Source organism: Homo sapiens, chromosome 8 (assembly GCF_000001405.40).
Source record: "Homo sapiens chromosome 8, GRCh38.p14 Primary Assembly".
NCBI lineage: Eukaryota > Metazoa > Chordata > Mammalia > Primates > Hominidae > Homo > Homo sapiens.
This window is the reverse complement of record NC_000008.11, coordinates 9,341,633-9,366,716: the sequence shown is the minus strand read 5'-3', so window position 1 is coordinate 9,366,716 and position 25,084 is coordinate 9,341,633. Positions and strand designations below refer to the sequence as shown.

Sequence of the window (25,084 nt, the reverse complement as noted above, 5' to 3'; positions counted from 1 at the left end):
CCCACACTTGGGAGACTGATGTGTCAGGAAAGCATGCACAGGTAAGTGAGATGCTAGGTCAACGAATCAGCAAAGAGAGTCGGAAGGGAATCTAGGAGTTGATGTGGAAAGCCATGGTGTCAAACCAGAGATTACGGCCTGGGCTCAGAGTGTCTGGAGGGTGAGAGGGCAGTGCTGGCCAACTACACAGACCAGGCATTGGAGCCAGTGATGGCCTAGGTGTGCTGGCTGCAGCCCAGCTCAGGGCTCAGGGGAAGCTGGCTGCATTTAAAGGACTGAGGCACTGCAAAATGTTACACCCCTAAACTGTGGAGATATTGGCCAAAGCTCCTTTCAGGAGTGGCAAGAGCTGTGTGTCTGAACCAGTCCTAGTACTGGCCGTGATCCTGACAACGTGTTCACGTGTGCTCTTAAGTTAAACCAATCTACAGAGGTCATCCGGAGTGTTGGCTTCATTCCCTCCTTACCCCACACAATCCCCCTAACGCTTTGCAGAATAGAGACCTCTCAAATACTGTAAAAAGAGGTATGTGAATTTGGGTTAGCCCAATTGGTTTTGTGGTTTCTGTTTGGTTGGGCTGTCAAGAATTTGTTCTGTTGGGTGTGGTTGGGTGACAGAGTTGTTAGTTAACCAGACCTGAGAAGAGGAGGGAGCCATGTACAACCTGCCTAGCACTAGTAGTTGGCATTAAACCCTAGAGAGGTTCCCATTTCTCTCAAGTGGAGTCTTATTAGGTACATCTCTCCATCCCCCCTACTCCACCTCCTTGAATACAGAATAAAGGTACACATTTATAGGCTCCCAGAGGGCAGGGACCATGTGATGTAATCCTTTATATCCAGTGTTAGATACTGTCTAATATGGTAGCCTCTAACCCCTTCAGAAAGAGCTACCCTGAATTGAGATGTGCTGAATTTTGAAGACTCAACATGGAAAAAATAATGCAAAACATCTTATCAGCATGTTCTTACATTAATTATGTTGGAATAATATTTTGGTTAAGGGAAACATATTATTAAAAGTAATTTCTTCAGTTTCCGTTTACTTTTTTTAATGTGGCTACTCAAAAATTTAAAACTCCATACGAGGCATGAATCTTCTGATAGGTAGCACTGTTTAATACCTTCTCTGGTGGCAAATCCAAAACACAGATCTTATATAATTTGGATAATAAACCCCCTTCAGTCACCAGTGAGCCCACACTGATAAAAGAAAGAAACTGATCGCAGAGCCGCCGAGATCCCAACCCAATTAAACACTGGCCTTTCTTCCTTCTTTTCACAGCCAGTTAGGAAAGAAATTACTCAGAGGCCCGGCCGCCCATCGTCTGAGATGTGGGGAGCGCCTCTGCCCCGCCGCCCCATCTGGGATGTGAGGAGCGCCTCTGCCCGGCCGCGACCCCGTCTGGGAGGTGAGGAGCGTCTCTGCCCGGCCACCCCGTCTGAGAAGTGAGGAGACCCTCTGCCCAGCAGCCACCCCGTCTGAGAAGTGAGGAGCCCCTCCGCCCAGCAGCCACCCCGTCTGAGAAGTGAGGAGCCTCTCCGCCCGGCAGCCACCCCGTCTGGGAAGTGAGGTGGGGGGGTCAGCCCCCCGCCCGGCCAGCCGCCCCATCCGGGAGGTGAGGGGCGCCTCTGCCCAGCCGCCCCTCCTGGGAAGTGAGGAGCCCCTCTGCCCGGCCAGCCGCCCCGTCCGGGAGGGAGGTGGGGGGTCAGACCCCCGCCCGGCCAGCCGCCCCGTCCGGGAGGTGAGGGGCGCCTCTGCCCGGCCGCCTCTACTGGGAAGTGGGGAGCCCCTCTGCCCGGCCACCACCCCGTCTGGGAGGTGTGCCCAACAGCTCATTGAGAATGGGCCAGGATGACAATGGCGGTTTTGTGGAATAGAAAGGGAGGAAAGGTGGGGAAAAGATTGAGAAATCGGATGGTTGCCGTGTCTGTGTAGAAAGAGGTAGACATGGGAGACTTTTCATTTTGTTCTGTACTAAGAAAAATTCTTCTGCCTTGGGATCCTGTTGATCTGTGACCTTGCCCCCAGCCCTGTGCTCTCTGAAACATGTGCTGTGTCCACTCAGGGTTAAATGGATTAAGGGCGGTGCAAGACGTGCTTTGTTAAACAGATGCTTGAAGGCAGCATGCTCGTTAAGAGTCGTCGCCACTCCCTAATCTCAAGTACCCAGGGACACAAACACTGCGGAAGGCCGCAGGGTCCTCTGCCTAGGAAAGCCAGAGACCTTTGTTCACTTGTTTATCTGCTGACCTTCCCTCCACTATTGTCCTATGACCCTGCCAAATCCCCCTCTGTGAGAAACACCCAAGAATGATCAATAAAAAATAAATTAAAAAAAAAAAAAAAAAAAGAAATTACTCAGAGGAAAATCTTAACAATTTCTATCAAATGAAAATCTTGTCTCAGACCCAGACTGACTTTCATTCAATCCATTCGCTGAAATTTGAGCATCTAACTGCAGCCTGCCGGGGATCGTCTAGCTGAGACAGGGATCCTTCTGGAAAGAATAGACACAGTCTCTGGGTGCTTCTAGCTTCTGGCCCTGTTCCCTCAAAAGGTCAGTTTCAATCTCAGACTACACAGGTCATGTGCTAGAACGCCTTCTCCCTGTGTTCCCCCAGGGCCCTGGTCAGCCCAGCAGAGCCTGAGTTGTAGGTCACAGTTCCAGCCATTGTTGATTCTTAGCTGTGTCGAAGCCGTAGTTAATATTGATCCTGAAGACTTTCTTTTTCTACATCACTTTGTGCTTGACGGTGATTAAATGGAAGACTTATACCATCAGCAAATTGGCTTTCCACACCTCACAAACCAACTCACACGCTTACTCCCAATCCTCATGAATACCGAGAATTTCTAATTCTCGAAGTCGGCTGGCATTTCAGGCCAGGATCCGCCGGAGCCTCCATCTACGGCCTAGTGAGAATGGCCTGTTTGCCTAAGAGGATTAAGTGGAGGGCAGCCAGCTAAACTTCCACAGAGACGTTTTAATGACTTCAGCTCTAATCGCTTCCTAGGCCTCATCAGCCACCACCAGTCATGACTGGGCTTTTTTAAGACGGATGTCACTAATCTGTTCCACTCCAAGGCCGCCAGAGCCCCTCTCTTTGTTGTCGCTTTTACTCCCCCTTCGCAGGCTCCACTTGTACTCTTTTGAATAATGTAACCCCCCTGCCCCCAACTCCTCATACCTCTCAACCTGCCTCGCTCATCTCACCAGTTTGACCTTCTCCAAGAATTCTGGACAGAAAGTAGAACCTCATTCACAGGCTTACCTCATCATTTTGGAATAACTTAACTAAATGGAACATTCACTCACAAAAGGAAACTTACATTTCAGGTCCTGGTGCTGTAACTCGCCCCTTTAATCCCAGCACTTTGGGAGCCCAAGTGGGAAGACTGTTTGAAGCCAGGAGTTCAAGGCCAGCCTGGGCAACACAGCAGGACCCTGTCCCTGCAAAAAATTTAAAAATTAGCCAGATGTGGTGACGCGCACCTGGAACAGATTAGTTCCAGCTACTCAGGAGGCTGAGGCAGGAGAATCACTTGAGCCCAGGAGTTTGAGGCTGTAGTGAGCTATGATTGTACCAATGCACTCCAGCCTGGATGACAGAGTGAGGCCCTGTCTCTAAAAAGTAAAAAAAAAAAAAACTTAAAAAAAAAAAAAGAAACCTGCATTTGATTGGAGGAAGCAGAGAAAATATTTATGAGCAATTTCTGGCCCCAGTTGTCTATGACTTGGAAAACCTGTTTACCTGCAGTTCACCTCTTGATGCTGATTTAACTTCTTTTGCCCAGTGTTTCTAACATTCAGCTAGATCCAAAGACCATGATCAAAACTCAGTTTTCTCATGGTGCCCTTTTGTATTTTTGAAATCTTTAAATTATTTTTCTTTTATAATAGAGCTACCTTTACTCTCTGGTCAAGGAGCTGTTAGAGTGTGTGTCACTTGCAAAAAAAAAAAAAAAGAAAGAAAAAAATGGTAATTACAGTGTCAATATTTTAAAAAATATTTTGGCACTAGGCTTATTCCTAAAAGTCGTCTACTGTTTTGTGAGTCCTGTGTGTGCACTGTCCAGTTTTGGCATTACTGTTATGTTGGCTTTATAAACAACATTAGACATGTTGATTTTCCTTAGAAAAGTTTTAAAAGTACTAGAATAATCTCTTTCTTAAAATTTTTAAATTTAAAATTTCATTTGTGAAATGACCTGTGTCTGGCATTTGGATAAATTATTCACTTCATGTATATTCATTCCTTAGGTTTTCTAATTTATTTGCATAGTTAAAAAGTGTTTTCTCTGTCTTTCTGTTATTTCCCACCCTCCTTTCTAATTGTATGCGTTTGTATTTTGCCCCTCTTTTTTTTAGGATATTAATGGTTTATCTGTTTTATTTAAAAGCACCAGGACTTGGATTCATTTATTTTTCTGCCAAATATCCATTTTTTAATTTATTCACTTCAACTCCCAATTTTTATTTCTTCATTTTGTTTTTTCATAATTATGTTCTTTTTCAAACTTAAGTTGAATCACTAATGCATTATTTTGATTCTTTGTATTTATTAATGCTAACTGCTTACGCCTAATAATTTTCCTCAAAACATTGCTTTAATCATGTCCTCAGGTTATGAAGTACAGCTGGCAAATTTATTCACAATTATTATTGTGTCATAGTTTTTTTTTTTTTTTTTTTTTGAGATGGAGTTTCGCTCTTGTTGCCCAGGCTGGAGTGCAATGGCGTGATCTCGGCTCACTGCAAGCTCCACTTTCCAGATTCAAGCTATTCTCCTGCCTCAGCCTCCCGAGTAGCTGGGATTACAGGTGCCCACCACCACGCCCAGCTAATTTTTTGTATTTTTAGTAGAGATGAGGTTTCACTATGTTGGCCAGGCTGGTCTCAAACTCCTGACCTCAGGCGATCCACCCGCCTCAGACTCCCAAAGTGCTGGGATTACAGGCATGAGCCACTGCGCCTGGCCTATTGTCTAGATTTTCTGCATAAATGTGCTGTGCTCTTTGCCCTGAAGACCTACCTACTTTCATTTTTTGACTTTCCCCTCTTTTGTGGTGAGCAGGGCTGATAGAGGGGTTGTTTTTGAACACACAGATGGGCTGTCCAAGGGTTTCTTCCTATGACATCTACATATCCTAACATTCTGAAATGACAAGCTGTATTAGTCTGTTCTCATACTGCTAATAAAGACATACCCAAGACTGGGTAATTTATAAAGGAAAGAGGTTTAATTGACTCACAGTTCTGCAGAACTGGGGAGACCTCAGGAAACTTACATTCATGGCAGAAGGGGAAGCAAACATGTCCTTCTTCACATGGTGGCAGGAAAGAGAACTGCAGAGCAAAAGGGGGAAATCACCTTATAAAACCATCAAATCTCATGAGAACTCACTTACTATCACGAGAACAGCATGGAGGTAACCGCCCCCATGATTCAATTACCTCCCACTGGGTTCCTCCCATGACAAGTGGGAATTATGGGAACTACAATTCAAGATGAGATTTGGGTGGGGACACAGCCAAACCATATCACAAACTTAAGAATACCACGATAGCAATGTTTTGTTTTTGTTGTTGTTGCTGTTTCCCCCTCCTGTTTCTTCTGGGAATATAAACCTAATTGTTCCAAGCATAACACTTTGGGTTGGATTTCATAGAATCCTTTCACCTACTTTCAGAGATGTTAACATCCTGCAGTAGATGTGGTGAGCACATGTTTCATTCATTCATTCATTCATTCACCAACAGTTACTGAGTGTCAAGTGCTGGTCTGACTAGGTATTTCTTGCCCTTGTTAATTCTCACTCAGTCAGATCCAAATATTCCTCAGGATGGTTTGCAGAGCTATAGATATGATTTTCTGTGTGTTTCAGAAAAGGAAAGTGACAGATAGCAATTTATCCCACCATCTGTTATTGGATGTGTCAGTAGTTAATTTTTTGAAGACTATTTGAAAAGTGTTTTAGACGCATGGAGCTCATGTGAAACTGAAGCTTGGTTTCCAAGTGACCATCAACAGAGAAAGAATTCTCTTGATTTAACCATTTACCTAAGCCTTAACTGATCTTTCATCTCCTAAATACTATTCAGCCTTTATGCCTTTTACCTTCCATCAAGCAGGTAGAGTTTATTGGTCAGAATTACTCTGTTGAAAACATGGGCATGGACAGGCTGGAAACAAAGACAAGGGGCAGCCTTCTGCCCTTGTCTAAGGAGAATGCCCAGACTCTCAGCCCTTTGCAGACCTGACTCTGAATCTGAAAATGTGCTCAGCTTCTTTTATTCTTGCCTAAGGCTGTCTAAGGGAAGCTGGCAACAACAGCTGATGTGGAAGGTCAATAAGTGTGTCAATAAACCCCTGCCCAGACTCTTTTTTTTTTTCCCACCTGCAAAATTGCTTTGGTCAGCAGAGACCCCGACTGAAAGGGGCCCTCTGTCTTTGGGTCATGCAGTTTCTGTTCTCACCCCTGGACAAGACTAACTCCAAAGAAACAGAATCAAAACCTAATCATAAGTCACACTGGAGGCTTTACATAAAACTGGAAAATAATCAGATGGAGTCGAGCATCTCTCAGTCAGACATTTGCTTGGGGCCCACTAACATATCAATGTGATGGCCTCTTTCACCCTGTGCTGGATGCTGCAGGCTTCTAGAGAGCAGCTTGGGGACTGAGGCCAACTCTGCATTCAGGGAGGCCGAAGGCAGTGCCAGGTGAGTTTGGACACACTTTCCAGCCACCTGCCCCGTGTGACGATCCCGCGAAATGCTTCCAAGCCAGAGATCCACTTCATAGGCTGGCTTAGGCTTTTGAAATAAAACACCCGCCTGAAACAAGCATTGGCAGGTTCTATTTCAGGGATGGGGCAGAGGCAAGGACCCTGGCCTTGTCTCCATACAGCTTTAGGTGATGCAGGGTTTTTGAATTTGGCCTCTATTTCAAGCACTTTCTGAAAAAGAAAAGCATAACCAGGATAGTTCCAAGGCAGACAGTTCTTCTGTTTATTTTTTCACAGGAGCGTGTGAGAAATGGAGACAGAGGGATTGGAGAGATGAAGATGGGGGATCCGTGGTCTCTGAAGCCCCCAATGCTTGTGTGAGGGTGAGAGCTCAGGTGCGGGACAGCCTGGACATGGGGAAGGGCTTTCCTCTACATAAATTACTGGGGGATCTAGAAATGACTTCCACAAAATGCTTCCCTTCTGGACCTCACTCTGTTGAAAGGGAAGATTTGTCTAGCTAATCAGGACGGTAGCTGATAAAGATATCAATAAAAGCAACATTAAAGTTTTTCCCAGGGTACACCAGCCTGGCCCTTCCTGACAAGTGACAGAGGCTCTGGGTTAAAAATTACCTCTCCTTCTAGAACTATCTTTGAAACACTAAATCTGATTTTCATCCTGAGGGCATTTGCTAAACTCCAGTGGCCAGGCCACAGGAGAAAAAGCCTAGGAACTTCGCAAAGTATAGAATCTAATAGAAGACCACACAGAAAACTGGGCCCCAAGGGTTTATATCTTTAGTATGATCACAAATTAGATAGAAGCTTATCCTCCCCCACAACTACTACTACTAACCCCAACCACTGCTCTTACCCTGGACATCAAGGAAAAATGCCTTTCTCCAGACTTAGTACTTCGGTAAGAGAACAAAATATCTGCCTTGATTATTCATAAACACAAGGCCATTGTACAATTTTCCAGCTTCAATTCACACTACCTGGTTAGTCCCAAAAAACTCATGCTGAGAATTAGTGTAGAATGCTGCTGACTTGGAAGTGGCTTTAGGCTCATGGTACTAAGAAAAGCAAATTCTTTCCGATTTGTTCAAAGAATTCTCACTGATAGAACTTTCAAAACATATGAGCTCACCAGCACAGATCACAAAACTCACAAAAATACCATGCCCTAGAAGCACCACACACCTGAAAAAACAAACAGCAGATTTAGCTTCCAAAACGTTTCACATATTGGCTTATCAGACAAAGAATATGAAACAAGTATTTTAAATTATGTTTCAAGAAGAAAATAGAGAGGTCTGTATTAGTTTGCTAGGACTGCCATAAGAAAGTATCACAGACTGGGTGGCTGAAACAACAGAGATTCACTTCCCATAGTTCTGGAGACTGGAAGTCTGAGCTCAAGGTGTCAGCAGGGTTAATTTCTTCTGAGACCTCTCCCCTTGGCTTATAGATGGCTGCCTTCACCGTCTTCATATGCTCTTTCCTCTCTGTGTTTTGTGTCCTAATCTCCTTTTCTTACAGGAAGACCATCATATTGGACTAGAACCTACCCTAATAATCCCAATGAAACTTAATGACTTCTTTGAAGGCCCTATCTCCATATAAAGTCATATTCTAAGGTACTATGAATTTTGGGAGTAAACACAATTTATAATAGAAAATATAAATAAAGAAAAAGAACTTTTCTTTGTTTTGTTTTGTTTTTTTTAGACGGAGTCTAGTTCTGTTGCCCAGGCTGGAGTGCAGTGGCACGATCTCGGCTGACTGCAACCTCCACCTCCTGGGTTTAAGTGATTCTCCTGCCTCAGCCTCCTGAGTAGCTGGGATTACAGGTGACCACCACCATGCCCAGCTAATTTTTGTATTTTTAGTAGAGACGGGGTTTCACTGTGTTGTCCAGGCTGGTCTCGAACTCCTGACCTCGTGATCCACCTGCCTTGGCCTCCCAAAGTGCTGGGATCACAGGCATGAGCCACCGCAACTGGCCAAAATTAAAGGTTTTTAAGGACATAAAAGAAAAAATTCAACTAGAACTTCTAGAAATGAAAAATATTGTAACAAAGTTTTTATAAACCTCAATGAGTGGTTTGAGAGAAGATTAGCATGGGTGAAGGAAGAATTAAAGAACCGAAAGACAGACCACTCCACTGTCCAGAGAGAAAAAGGGACACAAAAAAATGCTCAGAATTAATGGACTCCAATCCTCAGGTTCAGAAATCCTAAGGAACCCAAGCAAGATTTTTTACAAAGAAAGAAGTGTTCACCCAGATACAGCCTAATGATACTTCAAAGAGACAGATTGCTTACAAAGGAATGACAATGAAATTGACTTCTTGATAGCATCCATAGAAACTATAGGTAATAGTGGAACAATATTTGTTGTTGTTGTTGTCGCCGTTTAATTTTTTTTAACTTTTATGTTAGGTTTGGGGTTCACCTGAAGGATTGTTTCACAGACAAACTCATGTCATGGGGGTTTGTTGTATAGATTATTTCATCACCCATAAATGAAACCCAGTACCCAATCATTATCTTTTCTGCTCCTCTCCCTCCTCCCACTCTCCACACTCAAGTCTGTTGTTTTCTTCGTGAAACAATATTTTAAATATGCTGAGAGAAAATAACCATCAACCTAAAACTGTATATGCAGTAAAGATAGTTTTCAAAAATAAGAGTGAAGTTAAAAAATTTGAAGTAAGGAAAAACAGACAGTGATTAAAGGAAATGCTGAGGGCTTGTCTTAAGCAGAGGGAAGACAATTCAAGTTAGGGATATTGAGATGAAAACATGATGAGCTAAGAAAGTGGCAAATACATAAGCAAATCTTTAAAAAATTGACTGCATAAAACAATGGCAATAAACTTCTGTAAGTAGAGGGATAGACATGAAATACAAAGCAACAATAGCATACAAATTGTGAGATGTAAGAGGATTAAAGTGTTCTAAGTTCATGTAATGTAAAGAAGGAGAGTAAACCTATTAATTAAATTTAGAATATGAGAAGTTCAATATGCTTGTTAACATTCTAGGATGAGTTCTAGAAGAAGGGAATTTGATATAACTGTATTAGTTAGAGTTCTCCAGAGGGACAGAACCAATAGGATGTAGGTGCATATAAAAGGGAGTTTATTAGCGAGAATTGGCTCACAGGATTACAAAGTGAAGTCCCACGATGGGCCATCTGCAAGCTGGGGAAAGAGAGAAGACGGAAGTGGCTCAAGTCCAAGTCCAAATGCCTGAAAACTAGGGAAGGCCACAGTGCCTCCCTCAGTCTACGGCTGAAAGAGATGGAGTTGATGTCCAAGGGCAGGAGGAACAGAAGCAAACGTCTCTCATGGGAAGAAGAAAAAAAGCCAGAAGACTCAGCAAGCAAACTTATCCCACCTTCTTCCATCTGCTTTGTTCCAGCTGCACTGGCTGCCAATTGGATGGTGCCCACCCACATTGAAGACGGGTCTTCCTCTCCAGTCCACCACTCACATGTCAATCTCCTCTGGCAACACAACACCTTCACAGACACACCCAGAAACAATACTTCACCAACCATCTAGGCATCCCTCAAACCAATCAAGTTGACACCTAGTATTAACCATCACAATAACTTTCCAAGTAGTAGAGAGAAACAAAAAATAATCAGTTCAAAGGAAGGCAAAAAGAAAGAGCAGGGGAAGGAAGAAGAGATATATAATATACATATACATGTATATGTGTATATATATGATTTTATATATATAGATATATAGATATAGTATAGATATATAGTAAATGCAGGATAGTTATGAAAGAAAAAATAAGATATGAAAAAAGGCCAGGCACAACGGCTCACACCTGTAATCCCAGCACCTTGGGAGGCCAACGCAGGTGGATCACTTGAGGCCAGGAGTTTAAGACCAGCCTGGTCAACATGGTCAAAACCCCATCTCTACTAAAAACACAAAATTTAGCTGGGAGTGGTAGTGCACGCCTGTAATCCCAGCTACTCAGGAGGCTGAGACCTGAAAATCGCTTGCACCCTGGACAAAGAGGTTGCAGTGACCCGAGATTGTGCCACTGCACTCCAGCCTGGGCAACACAGCAAGACTCTGTCTCATTAAAAAAGAAAATTTTTTAAAACTCTAGAAATAAAATATTTCAGTGATTACATTCAAATGAACATAGATTAAATGCCTCAGTTAAAAATCAAAGCTTGTCAGACTGAATTTAAATGCACTTTTATGAGAGATCACATGTAAAACACAAAGATCAAAAGGCTCAAATTACACAACGGACAAATCTAAATGAAAGAAAACAGTGTCACTCTGTTTTTAGACTTTAGGGCGAAAACGGTTCTAGAGATCAAGAGGCTCCCAATGTATTGGTAGACGTTTTAGTTCAACAGAAAAATACAAGCCTAAACTAACTGGTACCTAAAAACGTAGTCTCAAAATACATAAAACAAAATTAAAGACACTGGATAAGGAGAAATAGACACTACAGTAAGAGACTCAAATAATTCTCATAATGACTGGACAAATACATTTTTTTAAATCAAGGAAAATATACCACACGGGAATGATGCATCAGACAAGCCACGCAGAAATAGGTTCCAAAGCCGGGCGCGGCAGCTCACGCCTGTAATCCCAGCACTTTGGGAGGCCGAGGCGGGCGGATCACGAGGCCAGGAGATTGAGACCATCCTGGCTAACACGGTGAAACGCTGTCTCTACTAAAAATACAAAAAATTGGCTGGGCGTGGTGGCGGGTGCCTGTAGTCCCAGCTACTTGGGAGGCTGAGGCAGGAGAATGGCGTGAACCCGGGAGGCGGTCCTTGCAGTGAGCCGAGATCGCGCCACTGGACTCCAGCCTGAGCGACAGAGTGAGATTCCGTCTCAAAAAAAAAAAAAAAAAGAACAAGAAAAAAGAAAAAGAAAAAAAAAAAAAGAAATAGGTTCCAAAAATTTGTACTGGAGTCCTTGAAGGTCTGTAGCTGAGGGTTATGCTGTATATACAACGGGCAGCAACACCTGAGGCTCACCAAGTAGCAGCTGCTGTAGGGTTGAGGGAGAAACAATGGGATGAGAGATCAAGCAAGCAGTGCTGTGGACATTAGAGTTCCGACCCTGACAGAGAGCAGAGATAACACCTCATGAACACTCCTGAAATCCAGGTCAAACACAGCAAGCTTGTGCCTTATGGGTACAGACGACATTCTAGAGCAAATATTTTCTCTAAAGAGTCAGACGCTAAATGTTTTAGCCTTTGAAGTCCATATAGTCTCTGTTGCAAATACCCAACTCTGCCATTGAGGTATGAAAGCAGGCATAGGTCAAGACATAAATAAATGAGTAAACCTGCTTTCCTGTAAAACTTTTTTTGCAAAAAAAAAAATAAAAAGGTGTTTGTTAAACGTGGTGATGTTGGCACAACTGTGTGACTATACTGAAAACCACTGAGCTATATGGGCAAATTATATGATATGTGAATTATATTTCAATAAAGCTATTTTAAAAATAAGCAAAATAGACAGTGGGCCAAATTTGGCTCATAGGTCATAGTTTGCTGACCTTTGCTCTAAAAATACGACTCTTAGGCCAAATTCAGCTGTTGCTTGTTTTTGTAATAAAATTTTATTAGAACACAGCCATGTTCATCTGTGTACTTACTGTCTGTGGCCGCTTGCATGCTACAATGCAGAGGTGAGTAGACATGACAGGATCGTATGGCCCTAAAATTTAAAATATTATTTTGCCTTTTACAGAAAAAGCTGCTGATCTCTGACATAGAACTGTGCCTATCAATAGAATTTTCTGTAACAGACATGTTCTGTAGTTGCACAATTTTAATCTGGTAGTCATTGACCCATATGACTACGAAACACTTGAAATGTAACTATGGCAACTGAATAAGTACATGTTTAAATTTAAATTAATTTATTTATGTATTTATTTGAGGCAGGGTCTCACTCTGTCACCCAGGCTGGAGTGCAGTGGCGTGATCATCGCTCACTGCAGCCTTGACCTTGCAGGCTCAGGTGATCCTCCCACCTAAGCCTCCCAAGTAGCTGAGACTACAGGCACAAGCCACTATGCCTGGCTAATTTTTGTATCTTTTCTAGAGACGGGGTTTTGCCACGTTGCCCAGGCGGGTCTTGAACTCCTGGGCTCAAAAGATCCACTTGCCTTGGCATCCCACCCTGAAGTGCTGGGATGATAGGCATGAGCTACTGTGCCTGGCCTAATTCACTTAAATTTGAATAGTCACTGTAGTACAACATACACCACACTCACTCTTAAAAAGCCTAAACCTGAGCCCTAATAGGATGGTCATGGGAGACAGTTTGGAGAATGAGTCTTCTAAGTTAGCACTCAGGAAACACTTCTGACTTTTTCCTTATCTATAATATGAGAGCCTAAAACCAAGATGGACATTCCAAGGTGATCAGATAATAATCAAACTGCTTGCTAAAATGAGAATCAACATTTTTCTGAGGAAGATAGTAGAATCCAGGACTCTACAATATATTATCTACAATGTCCAGTATTCAGTTAAAAAATCACTAGGCTTTCAAAGAAACAGGAAAACATAATTGATAATCAAAGCAAAAAGTACTCAAAACAAACTGAGATGGCCCAAGTATTAGACTTGGCAGCAAAAGACTTTAAATGAGTTATTAAAACTATTGTCAAAGGCTGGGGCACGGCGGCTCACGTCTGTAATCCCAGCACTTTGGGATGCCAAGGCAAGTGGATCTCTTGAGTCCAGGAGCTCGAGACCAGCCTGGCCAACACTCCTAAAGTAGTAGAAACCCCATCTCCAATAAAGATACAAAAATTAGCTGGGCATAGTGGTGGGTGCCTGTAATCCCAGCTACTTGGGAGGCTGAGGCAGGAGAATCGCTTGAACCTGGGAGGCGGAGGTTGCAGTGAGCCGAGATCACGCCACTGCACTCCAGCCTGGGTGAAAGATCGAGACTCCATCACACACACACACACACACACACACACACACACACACACACACACAGTCAAATAGTTAATGGAAGATGTTCAAAGAATTAAAGAAAAATATGGATTTAATGAATTAGTGACTATGAAATCTCACTTGGAAAATGGAAACTATTTTTTAAACCCTATGGAAACTCTAAAACTCAAGTGTATAATACCTGAAATGAAAAATTCCCTGAATGGGCTTACTAGGGATGACAGAAGAAAAACTTGGTAAACTTGAAGACAGATCAATAAAATTAAATCAATCTGATAAATAGAAAATTAATTGAAAAAAACGATCAAAGCCTCAGGGATTGATAGGACAGTAATAAATGGCCGAACTCACCTGCAATACGGATTCTGAACGAGAAGAGAATGAGGATGGAGGAAAAAGACATTTGAAAGAATAATGGCCCCAGACTTCCCAAAAGTTGTTGAAAAACACCAACTTTTAGGTTTAAGAAACTCAGTGAACCCCAAGCAGAATACACATAAAGAAAACCACATCTAGGCACATCACAGTCAAACTGCTGAAAACCAAAAAATGATAGAAAATACGGAAATCGGCCAGGCGCGGTGGCTCATGCCTGTAATCCCAGCACTTTGAGAGGCCGAGGCGGGTGGAGCACTTGAGGTCAGGCCTGGCCAACACGGTGAAACCCCATCTCTACTGAAGATACAAAAATTAGCAGGGTGTGGTGGCACATGCCTCTAATCCCAGCTGGTCCGGAGGCAGAGGCACGAGAATCACTTGAACCCAGGAGGTGGAGGTTGCAGTAAGCCAACATTGCACACCACTGCATTCCAGCCTGGCAACAGAGAGAGACTCTGTGTAAAAAAAAAAAAAAAAAAAGGAAACCAAAAACCAAAAAAACAGAAAATACGGAAATTATCCATAAAACAAAAGACACATTATATATAGGAAAACAAAAATAATTTCTGATTTCTTATTAGAGATAATGCAGGCCAAAAGACCAGGGAATAACACCTTTAAAATGCTGAAAAAAATCTCACCAGTCTAGAATTCTATATAGAGTGAAAATAAACTTAAAAAAATGGTAAAATTAAGACACTTTGAGATAAACAAAAGCTGATAGAATTTGTTACAGGCAGAACTGCAGGAAATTCCTCAGGGTATTCTTCAGAATGAAGGGAAATAGTAGAAGATACAAACTTGAATCTACAGTAAGAAAATGATGATCACTAGAAACTACGCTGCAAAGTATCTGACAGAAGAGAGTAATGAGAAGACAAACATTTTTGTGTTCTTGACTTTAGCTTAATTTCCAGATGTGGTGAGAGAAGATTCTATAGTTGATAACAAGCATTTAAGATTGGGGTCTTAAAAGAGTGACACAAAATGCTCTAGAACCTGAATGTTTCATGTAACACGTAGACAATTTTTGTTGAAATTGTCCTATTGCCATGTTTTTCTCTTGAATTAGGTTTGCTTTTTCCAGTGAAGCTTTCTACCAGAAAAAAGGCAAAGAAGATGGTTTTTCTGATAAAGTCCCATGAGAATGCTCTGATGACACTGGAAAAGCTTTCTTTCATTCATCCACCCACTGGTGACTTGGAAAATAGCCTCTTCACCTTCAAATGAGAGAATAATGCTGAATTTTTCTGAATTTCTAAGACGGGAAGTGATGTATCACTAAAACGGTGAGCTCTCACTGAAACAGGAAATCTTCTACCAGTGTGGGTCTGAGTTGATCTCTCCCTCCCTCCCTCCAACCATCCAATAAATATTTCATTTTAAAAAATTTTAAAATGAATTTTTCCTCTAGTGCTTGTTAAAACACAAAATGAATACTTCGTTGTTTACTTTTTATTCATTTGATTTATTTATTTAGAGACGAGGTCTGGCTGGAGTCCAGTAGCCCAATCATGGCTCACTGCAGCCTTGAACTCCTGGGGTCCAGCTATCCTCCCACCCATGAGTATTTCTATAGGAACAATTATTCATCATGCAGAGTACTAGGTGCTGCAGGGAAGGGAATAAAAATAATCTTTGCCCTTGAGGATTTCATGAGCAAATAAGGAGATACATGCACAGAGCTAACTGTAATGCAACTTAGATCGAGTGCTAGTGTTTATTTATCATCTATATGTGAAGTGTCGAGGAGGAGATATTATAAGAACATAAGTCATTTCCCCTGACTTTAAGTGGCCGATCATCTTACTTGAGGTACAGAATGTAAACCTGCTAAACGAATCCCGGCAAAATTCCCAGGAGTGACCTTGGATTCAGAGCTCGAGGAGCACAAACTAAAAGAAAAACTCGTCCTGGCCTATAGCTGTGCTTTCTCCCTGTCCTCTGGAGCAACAGTGGTATGTCTCTGAAAATGTACATCATCTCTGTGTGTGGGCAGCTCTGCTGGCAAATACTTTTACAAGCTGTTTTCACCAGCCCTTCGCCTGCTCCACTGAAATTCCCAGGGCTCAAGAGACCAATTGCTTAACCAGGGTAGAGCTGTATTTCCATGTACAATCGACAAGCCTGGCGTTTAAAGCACTAACAACAGCAGTGTGGAGTCCCATTTTCTAGCAGTCCCAGGAGCCCATTTTCTAGACCAGCTCTGTTCAATGGAACTTTCTGCAGTGATGGAAAGGCACACATACTGTAGCCACCAGCTAATGCAGCTAGTGAGCACTTGAGACATGGCTAGTGAGACTGAAGAAAGGAATTCTTAATTGTATTTAATTTTAATGCATTTAATTCAAATTCGAACACCTTAATTTTAATGAATTCAGTCTTAAAACCATGGCTACTATATTAGACAGCAGAGTTCTAGATCCTGAAGCTGAAGGACAGGGTGAAATAAAGAGTCCTCCTTGAGCGAATAGGTGGGTCCCCTGGTAATTCACAGAATTATGTAGCTACCAAAGTGGGTAAAACCAGACCTTGACCTTCAACAGCCAGATGGGCCCATGCCACAGGGTTCATCCTCCCTCTTCTCTCCTCTCCCACCCCCAGCTTCAATATAGTGGCTTCTAACATGTTTTTATTCCCATGGAACAAGGAACTCACAAAGCCTCTTAAATTGACCTCCATTAGCCTGAAGGCTAATCCCCTTTTCCCCTGCCTTGGCGACTTCAAAACTTTTCATCAGAGTGAATGGAAAGATTAGGACACCATCAGTGACACACCAATAAAGATGGGATGAGGCTCAAAAACCTGCATGATTTAAAATGTGTCTAGGTAATTCTCCTGAGCTGCCAGACTTGGAAGCCATGTGGCTTCATACTGCAAATAGAAACACAATACAGAACTCACTGTGATGAGACCATTTACTCACACGGCAGATATTACTGAGCATCTGATATGAGGTGGGCATTCATATAAGTTAGGGAAATAGCAGTGAAAAAGACAGACAAGATTGCTTTCATGGGGTCTAGTACGGGGAGACAAAAATAAACCATAAATAAATAAAAAGATAAGTTGAGGCAGAGAGTATTAATTGACATGGAGAAAAACATTTGTGATGAGATAAAGACTGGGTTGGGAGCTACTTTAAGCTGCGTAGTCAGGGAAGTCCTCTCTTAGGAGATGACACTGATGCCGAGACTTGCATGGTGCACAGTGAATTGTGCTGAGGTCCTGGGGGAAAGCGTTCCAGGCAGAGGGCACAGCAAGCACAGAGGTCCTGAAACAGGAACAAGCCAGGGCTGCCCACAGGCTAGAAGACAGCCAGTGTGAACAAGCAGAGAATGGAGGCACAAGGGACAGGGGTCAGATCATGCAGGGTCTTATCGGCATGGCAAGTTACCTAAATTTTATTCTGTAATGTGATTATAAGCCATTAGCAGGATTTATGCAAGGGAGCGATATGGTAGATTTACACGCTTAAGAGATTATTTTGCCTGTTGGGTAGAGAATGCATTATAGTAGGGCAAGTGTGGAAAACCAGAGATAGGAATTCCTGCTATGGCCTAGGCAGAAAATGACAATGGCTTGGATTAGGGATATAACAGTCGATGTGGTGAGATATAATTAGATTCTGGATATATTCTAAAGTTAGAAAAAGTAGGACTGGTCAGTTGAATGTGGGGTATGACAGAAAAAGAAGAGTCAAAAATACATGATTCTTAAGTTTTAGATCTGAGCAACTGGGTAGCAGCTGATGGAATTATTTGTTGGGCAAATAAAGAATGGGGGAGAAATAAGCCTTGGAGGGATATCAAGAGTTTCACTTTGGATATTCAAGTTTGAGACATCTGTTAGGCATCTTAGCAGAGGTGTCATAGAGGCAGTTGGATTTAGGAATCTGGACCTTCGTGGGGTGATAAGGACTGGGAAGATAGATTCGAGAGTCATGAATGTATAGACGATTTGAGACTGAAACAGATTACCAGGAGAGGGAGTGCAGAAGAGAAGGAAAAGGGAGAGAGAAGAGGAACAAAGGGAAGATAAGAGAAAGGGAGGGAAGGGAAATGAAGAGAAGGAAAAGAAAAGGAAGGGAAGAGAAGGGAAAGGGAAGGGAAAAGAAGACAAAACAAGAGAAGAGATCTGGAGATTTATTTTTGGGGGTTCTAACTCAGGCAGAAAAGTCAAGCTGATAATATGGTAGGAGGAAAACCAAGAAAATTTCTTGGTTTCTGGGACCCCAGAGAATAAAAAGCTCCAGAAAAGAAGGAGGCGTCAACAGTGACGATAGCTGCTAGGAAGGCCTGTAAGATGGAGCAGAGAGTTGACCCCTGGATAAAACAAGTGGGGCCCAATGGTAGCACATGAATAGAATTGAACAGGTGAGTGAGCTTGTTGGGAGAGAATGGGCAGTGACAAACAGAGATGGTACTAATCCATGACTTTTCAGAACTTTTGCTATAAAGGGAAGCAGAGAGCTCGGCCATGGTTGGATGGGCCTATAAGGTCAAGGGAATGTTTTTGTTTTGTTTTTAAGATGAGCTATTCCAAGTTAGATGTATTTGCCAATGGGGATGATGTGGGAGTAAGAAAGATATTGAAGGTGCAGAATGATGAGCAATTCTCACTATCCTATGAGAAATCAGTGGCCACCTGGAGAAGCCTTACAGACCCCTGCTTGTCCATGAGTCATTCTATGAGAATCACTCCTGTGGGCACTCCTGAGTTTCCATATGTGAGGAAAGCCTTTAACTGGATTGGATGAAGGGAATATGGCCACTTGACGTCACAGTCTGTTAACAACCCATGGGTCCTGATATCATCAGTTGGCATAAATCTTACCACCCAGGGAGACCTGCTACTCAACACATGGCCCTGGAGGAGTGGGAGGCACTAGGTGACTCACCAAGCCTGGTGTTTGCTGGAGTAAGAGCCAAGCATACTCCATTGGCCTTCCATCAGCTACCACAACCTAGTGCCAACCCCACCGTACCCCAAGATAACAGGGACAGGGGTAGGCTTTAGGAGCATTGACATACCTAGAGGGGATTGGCTTTCTTTCACCTTCAGCCCTGTTTTTCCTTCCTTCCTTCCTTCCTTCCTTCCTTCCTTCCTTCCTTCCTTCCTTCCTTCCTCCCTCCCTCCCTCCTCCCTTCCCTTCCCCTTCCCCTTCCTTCCTTCCTTTCTTTCTCTCACAAAAAACACACAAAAAACAGTTCTTCCCTTTCAAGCAATAGACACACAAGAACCCAGGAACTTGATACAGGAGGCCTGGTTCCTTCCTAAGTCTCTTTCCCCCGCCCGCCCCCATATTTCTCTGCAGTGAGAAGTTAAGTGGAGGTGGAGCCAGGCAGGCTGTATACATTAATATGGATATGTGCCCACAGAGCCTCTGAGATCGTGTATCTATAGGGGATAGATGACTGCTGCTCTTCCCTGAAACCCCAAATCACAAGATTCTTAAGCTAGTGGCACTAAAGATCCACTAATGCCCATGACAGAGCAAACTGCTGCCCTCTAGACCAAAGACAGTGTGGTAGTAGCAAGAGGCCCCAATCGACCTGTAGAGTCCAGTCCACAAGGAAATGACACATGTTCCTGTCTGACTGGAGAGCTGAGGGCTGCTTTCCAAATGGCACTGCAGACAGCACTTCCATTCCTGGGGACAGCTGCCTCAGCCTCACCAACAAAATCACCAGTAATCCATGTCAATGAATGGGCTGGAATGTCCAGACTGAAAAAGAAGTGCCTCAGTACTATTCTAAAATAGGTGATAGGAGCTGGGCATTGTGGCTCAGCACCTTGGGAGGCTGAGGCAGGAGGATCACTTGAGGCCAGGAATTTGAGAGCAGCCTACACAACACAGTGAAAATTCTTCTCTTAAAAAAAAAATGTAATTAGCCAGCCATGATGGCTTGCACCTGCAGTCCCAACTACTCAGGAGACTGAGGCAGGAGGATCACTTGAGCCCAAGAGTTCCAGGTTGCAGTGAGCTATGACTGCACCACTGCACCCCAGCCTGGGCAAGAGTCAGACCCTGTCTGTAAAAAATAATAATAAATTTAAAAAATAACAATAAATAAAATAGCTTATAGGGCCACAGCACTCAGAGTCACAGGTAGTTAAAATAGTGTTTGCTTACTTAAAATAGAGAGGGAGGTGATTGTTGCCACCATAAGAAGCCTTTTGGGGAAATACTAAAAAGCACAGCTGTGTGGTACCCTGCAGGGTGACTGCCTTCTCTTTGGTTTCACTTGTGTTTGAATGAGAGAGCTCCAGTGGCCACTGGGGGACAACAGAAATACAGATCAGATATCACTATGTAAGCATTAAATAACTTGCTACTCCAGGAAGTGCCATTGAGGCAAGAAGTAAAAAGAACAGCCCCGTGCTGGCAGGTTCTGGATGGAAATCTTGCCGGGGTTTTATTTTTTTTCCTTTGATTATTATTCTTGGGAGATCTGGGAAATGGTGTGACTATGGAACTGTAGAACAGTGACTGTAATAACTTAAAAAGCAATATCAATTTAAATAGCGATCTGCCCCTGCTTTGCGACTAATAGAATAATGTCATTGTACTCATCACACAAATATGTATGAGTGGGAAAGAGCTTGACAACAAAGACAGAGTGTTTCAATCAGAATGAACAAAATGACAGCAGGAGCAGCAGGCTCTGGAAAGGCCTCTATGTTCTCCCCAAATATGGAGTCTTATCTGCTCTCCCCCAGCTGAGAATTTGACTCGTTGACCAGTACATCTGGGAAGGGCTCAGCAAGGTGAAATAGCGTAGAGGGAGCCCTGGGAGTCATGTTCGGTTCTGATGCAAAAAAATCTAAGGGGATGTGCAATGTGTTCTCAGTGCAGAAAACGGGGCTGCAGGTGCCTAGTTGGTTGCTTGGTGGATGCATTCAACTATCACTCAATTTCTACACGACCCCGCTTTCAACAGACCTTGTGCATCCCAGAATGAGCAGATGTGGAAAAAATTGTGCAGCTGGTTTTGGGCAGCAGCCCCCTTTTGGCTGCTCTTTTCCCTCCTGTTAATACGACCCTCATAATCACGCATGCCTTCAATGAGTCAGAGAGACCCTGAGAAAAGCAATATTCACTTGAACCGGCGGTCTGGGCTTTTGAGACAGGATGACTGGGCTGGAGACCCAGCATACTGACTGGTTATGTGACCCCCAACAAAGTTATTTCACCTCTGGAGGCTCAAATTTTCTCTTCTGTAAAATGGAGATTTCAATATCTACTTTGTAGGGTTGCTATGAGAATTTCATGATCTAATACATGCAAACTGTTTAATGCATAAAATTCCGGGCATTGGGTGGGCACTCCATGTATGTTAGCTATTACAAGTATTATCTGATAAATCAAGAACCACTAAAAAATTAGTTGGTTTCTAAGCAGATCTCCCAAAGGTGCTGAGGCATGAAAAATAGGTAGGGTGAAGAGTGAATGCTTAACAAGAAGAAATGAATATTCAATTCTGACCTTCCAACCCAACCCTTCTGCCCACTGGGGAGACCTCTCAGGCAGGTAACCCCAAATTATAACAGACTATTCTGCCTGAAACTAAGGTCATCTTGGCTCCAAATTCCGGGGTATGGTTAGTGTGGCATTTGGTGAGCGCGTGCCTTTCAACTGGCTAACTAGTGATGTAAAAACTTCTCTTTTCTTGTCTTTCTTTCTTTTCTTTTCTTTCTTTCTTTCTTTTCTTAGAAACAGGGTCTCTCTCTCTCTGTCACCCAGGCCAGCTAGTGATCTAGAAACTTCAATTTCTTCCTTTCCTTTCTTTCCTTTCCTTTCCTTTCCTCCTTCCTTCCTTCCTTCTTCCCCTTCCCTTCCCTTCCCCGCCCCTCCCCTTCCCTTCCTTCCTTTCTTCTTTCCCTCCCTCCCTCCCTCCCTCACTCCCTTCCTTCCTTCCTTCCTTCCGTCTTTCTTTCTTTCTGTTGAAACAGAGTCTCTCTCTGTCATCCGGGCTGGAATGCAGTGGTGTGATCAGGACTCACTGTGTGCCTCAAACTCCTGGGTTCAAGTGATCCTCCCATCTCACCCTCCTGAGTAGCTGAGACTACAGGTGAGCATCAGCCTGGCTAATTCTTCAATATTTTGCAGAGATGGGGTCTTGCTATGTTTTCCACACTGATCTCAAATTCCTGGCCTCAAGTGGTCCTCCCATCTCAGGCTCCCGAAGAGTTGTGATTATAGGCATGAGCCACTGCACCCGGCCTAGAAACTCCAGTTTTTATGTGTCACTCAGGTCCACAGAGAGTGGATCTCAATTCTTCCAGAAGTCCCTCTCACTATGAGTATGGGGCTTCCTCCTGGCAGTCAAGGCTTCATTCAGACATTTGCATCAGCAGGACCATTGTTCATACCCAGATCCAAGGAGTCTTGCTTGGTTCCTTTGCACACACAAGTCATGTGTACCCTCCCAGCACACACATAAGAGAAAGCAACTAATTAATATACTTTGACTTTGCTTGGTCCTTGATTTTTTTTATAAGTGCTTCTTTAGCCATTATGGCTAAAGAAGAGCTGAGATCAATGCCTTGCAATGTAGCAAATACAGTATTTTCACAAATGCTTATGAGCAAATTTGCGGAGATAGGAAGGTAAATCATAGATTATACTCAGGCATATTAGTTCCCCAGAGCTACCATAATGAATTACCACAAACTGGGTAGCTTAAAACAATGGAAATTCATTCTTTCACCGTTCTGAAGGCCAGAAATCTGAAATCAAGGTGTCAGCTAGGACTTCACTTGCAGGAAGCAACAGATACTTCTCCTTTGCCTCCGGTCACTTCAGTTTCTGGCAGTTCCTGCTGTTTCTTGGGTTGTGGCTGCAGAAGTCCCATTTCTGCCTCCATCTTCATATGGACTTCTTCCCTGTGTGTCTCTCTGTGTCCAAATCTCTCTCTCCTTTCTCTTGTAAAGACATCAGTCACTAGATCTAGGGCCCACCCTAAATCCAGGATGATATCATCTCAAGCTCTTTAACCAATTATATCTGCAAAAACCTTATTTCCAAATAAGGTCACCTATTCTGAGGTTCCAGGTAGACACAAATTTTGAGGAACACTCTTCACCCCACTATATTGGGGAACATGTACTTTAGTGAGACAAATGGCCATTACCTACAATACACAGTAGCACAGAAATTCCATGAGAGACCTGCAATGAGTTCTGGGTATATAAAGGAAGTGATGTTCCCATTCATCAGATTTGGGGGAAATGGATGGATAAGGTCATTTGAAAGGTAGGTCTTGAAGGATGGGAGACGTTTTACAGGACAGGGCATTCCTGGAAGAGGAAAAAATATGAGTACAAAAACAGAGAGAATAGCAGGGCTGTTCGGGAATCATAGGATTCTATTATTGTATTATTCTGAATAATAAGTATTGGCTACTTTATATGTGGCTAGGCAACTTGATTACAAGTGTCTAGCACGGCACCTTGCACACACCACAGAGCTGGTTAATATTTGTTGACTGATACTAAGAAAAAGCAAAAGTGTAACTCTGCCTTCTCCATTCAAATTCTCGAATTGCTAAGCTAAACTTTGCGGGCGCAGACATTATCCCTCACCAACTGGCACTAAATAATATAATCAATGTAATGATGACAAAAATTAATTCTAATAAACAGCTAATTAAAATTGAGTCTAGAAGGGTAACATGGCCCTAATTACTACATTGGCGAATTGTTTTCCCTATTCCTGGAACAAATTCCTACTTCATTATCCTCCTTTTGTGCAAGAAATTGAGCTTTTCCAAAGTGCGAGGCATGGATTATAGACAGTGTTGATGGCAGCCCGACCTGGCCCCTGCTGTGTCCAGCTCAGAGGTGAACATGCAACTCAAATGCCCACGTGCTACCTGCCAGTGACTACATCCTGAAGTCACATTTCCTTTCATACCCAAATTACAGTGACTCTGGGCTCCCACCTGCCACCTTAGCAAGAGTTTCCTTCAACAAATGTTCCTAAATAGCCACAAGGTTGCTAAGTTGGTCCCCTTGCCCTCTGCTTATGGCTGAATTGGGAGGACAGAAACTCAGGCCAGCCCTCTTAGGCTGACTTATAAACCATTGACTGCTTCCCGACTGTTCTGTGTGCTGGGCTCTCTCCCGTTGGTGCTGCTGCCTCGTGCAGGAGGAGGAGCCCAGGCTCCCTGCTTGGCTGTGCCAAGGCTGTCTGCTGCTGGCCCAGGCATGCTCCAGTCTCCATTTAGTATTGAGGGTCCCCACTGGGCCAAGATCCCCTCTGGTTCCTTGGTGATTTGATTTTATGGCTCCTCAAAGCAGGCTCTCTCTCTTCCAGGTGAGCCCTGCCCCTCTCGGATACAGCTGCTGTTTCTCAGCTCTCACTTCCCAGGTATAATCCAAGAAACGGCATTAAATGGATCAATATGTCAGAATTTTATAAAATCACAGAATGCTTTACCTGCAAGGGATTTCACTAACCACTTGCTCCAAAGTCTTCATTTTACAGAGGTTAAAAGATTTTCCCCAAGGCCATACACACAACAACTTAATTTTATTGATGTACCTAAGTTTATTATTGATCTGTTGTCTTAGCTGGCTAGGGCTGCCATAACAAAACACGACAGGTGGTTGGCTTGAACAGCAGAAGTGGATCGTCTCACAGTTCTAGAGGCTGGAAGTCTGAGATCAAGGTGTCGGCAGGGTTGGCTCCTTCTGAAGGCTGTGAGAAAGAGTCTGTTCCATGCCTGTCCCTGGCTTCTGGTGACTTGGTGGGAATCTTTGGTGTTCCTTGGCTTGCAGATGATGCACCACTGTAATGTCTGCTTTCATCTTCATATGGTATCTTCCCTGTGTGAGAGTGTCTATGTCCAAATTTCCTCTTTTCGTAAGGACACCAGTCAGATTAGATTAAGTTCCCACCCTATTCCAGTAAGTTAAGACCTCATCTTAATTAATTACATCTGCAATGACCCTATTTCCAAACAAAGCCACATTCTGAGATAC

General features: G+C 43.2%; 2 long non-coding RNA genes across 6 annotated transcripts in view, besides 2 other annotated features; one reads left to right on the top strand and one right to left on the bottom strand.

Moving 5' to 3' along the window:
* LOC105379231 (uncharacterized) overlaps window positions 1-3,432 on the bottom strand; it is a 62,356-nt gene extending 58,924 nt beyond the window's left edge. For all 4 annotated transcript variants that reach the window (XR_002956685.1, XR_948940.3, XR_948941.3 and 1 more), the window contains exon 1: window positions 3,335-3,432. This is a non-coding gene — a long non-coding RNA (uncharacterized LOC105379231). The remainder of the gene's footprint in view (window positions 1-3,334) is intronic.
* Window positions 1,104-1,608: an enhancer, noted in NCBI's record as "H3K27ac hESC enhancer chr8:9222619-9223123 (GRCh37/hg19 assembly coordinates)". NCBI's record gives its function as "activates a minimal SCP1, AML or CMV promoter by ChIP-STARR-seq in primed H9 embryonic stem cells {active_cell/tissue: H9 hESC(primed)}" and the evidence as "EXISTENCE:reporter gene assay evidence [ECO:0000049][PMID:30033119]".
* Window positions 2,884-3,178: an enhancer, noted in NCBI's record as "tiled region #4717; K562 Activating DNase matched - State 5:Enh". NCBI's record gives its function as "activates a minimal TATA promoter and a strong SV40 promoter by Sharpr-MPRA in K562 cells {active_cell/tissue: K562}" and the evidence as "EXISTENCE:reporter gene assay evidence [ECO:0000049][PMID:27701403]".
* Window positions 3,433-7,034: 3,602 nt separating the features above from the next.
* On the top strand, window positions 7,035-15,255 carry LOC105379228 (uncharacterized). 2 transcript variants are annotated; one of them, XR_948934.3, is made up of 3 exons: window positions 7,035-7,117; window positions 8,279-8,376; window positions 15,168-15,255. It is a non-coding gene; the product is annotated as an uncharacterized LOC105379228 (long non-coding RNA). The 2 variants fall into 2 exon arrangements; XR_948935.3 differs by having other exon boundaries at window positions 7,052-7,129.
* Window positions 15,256-25,084: the final 9,829 nt, after the last annotated feature.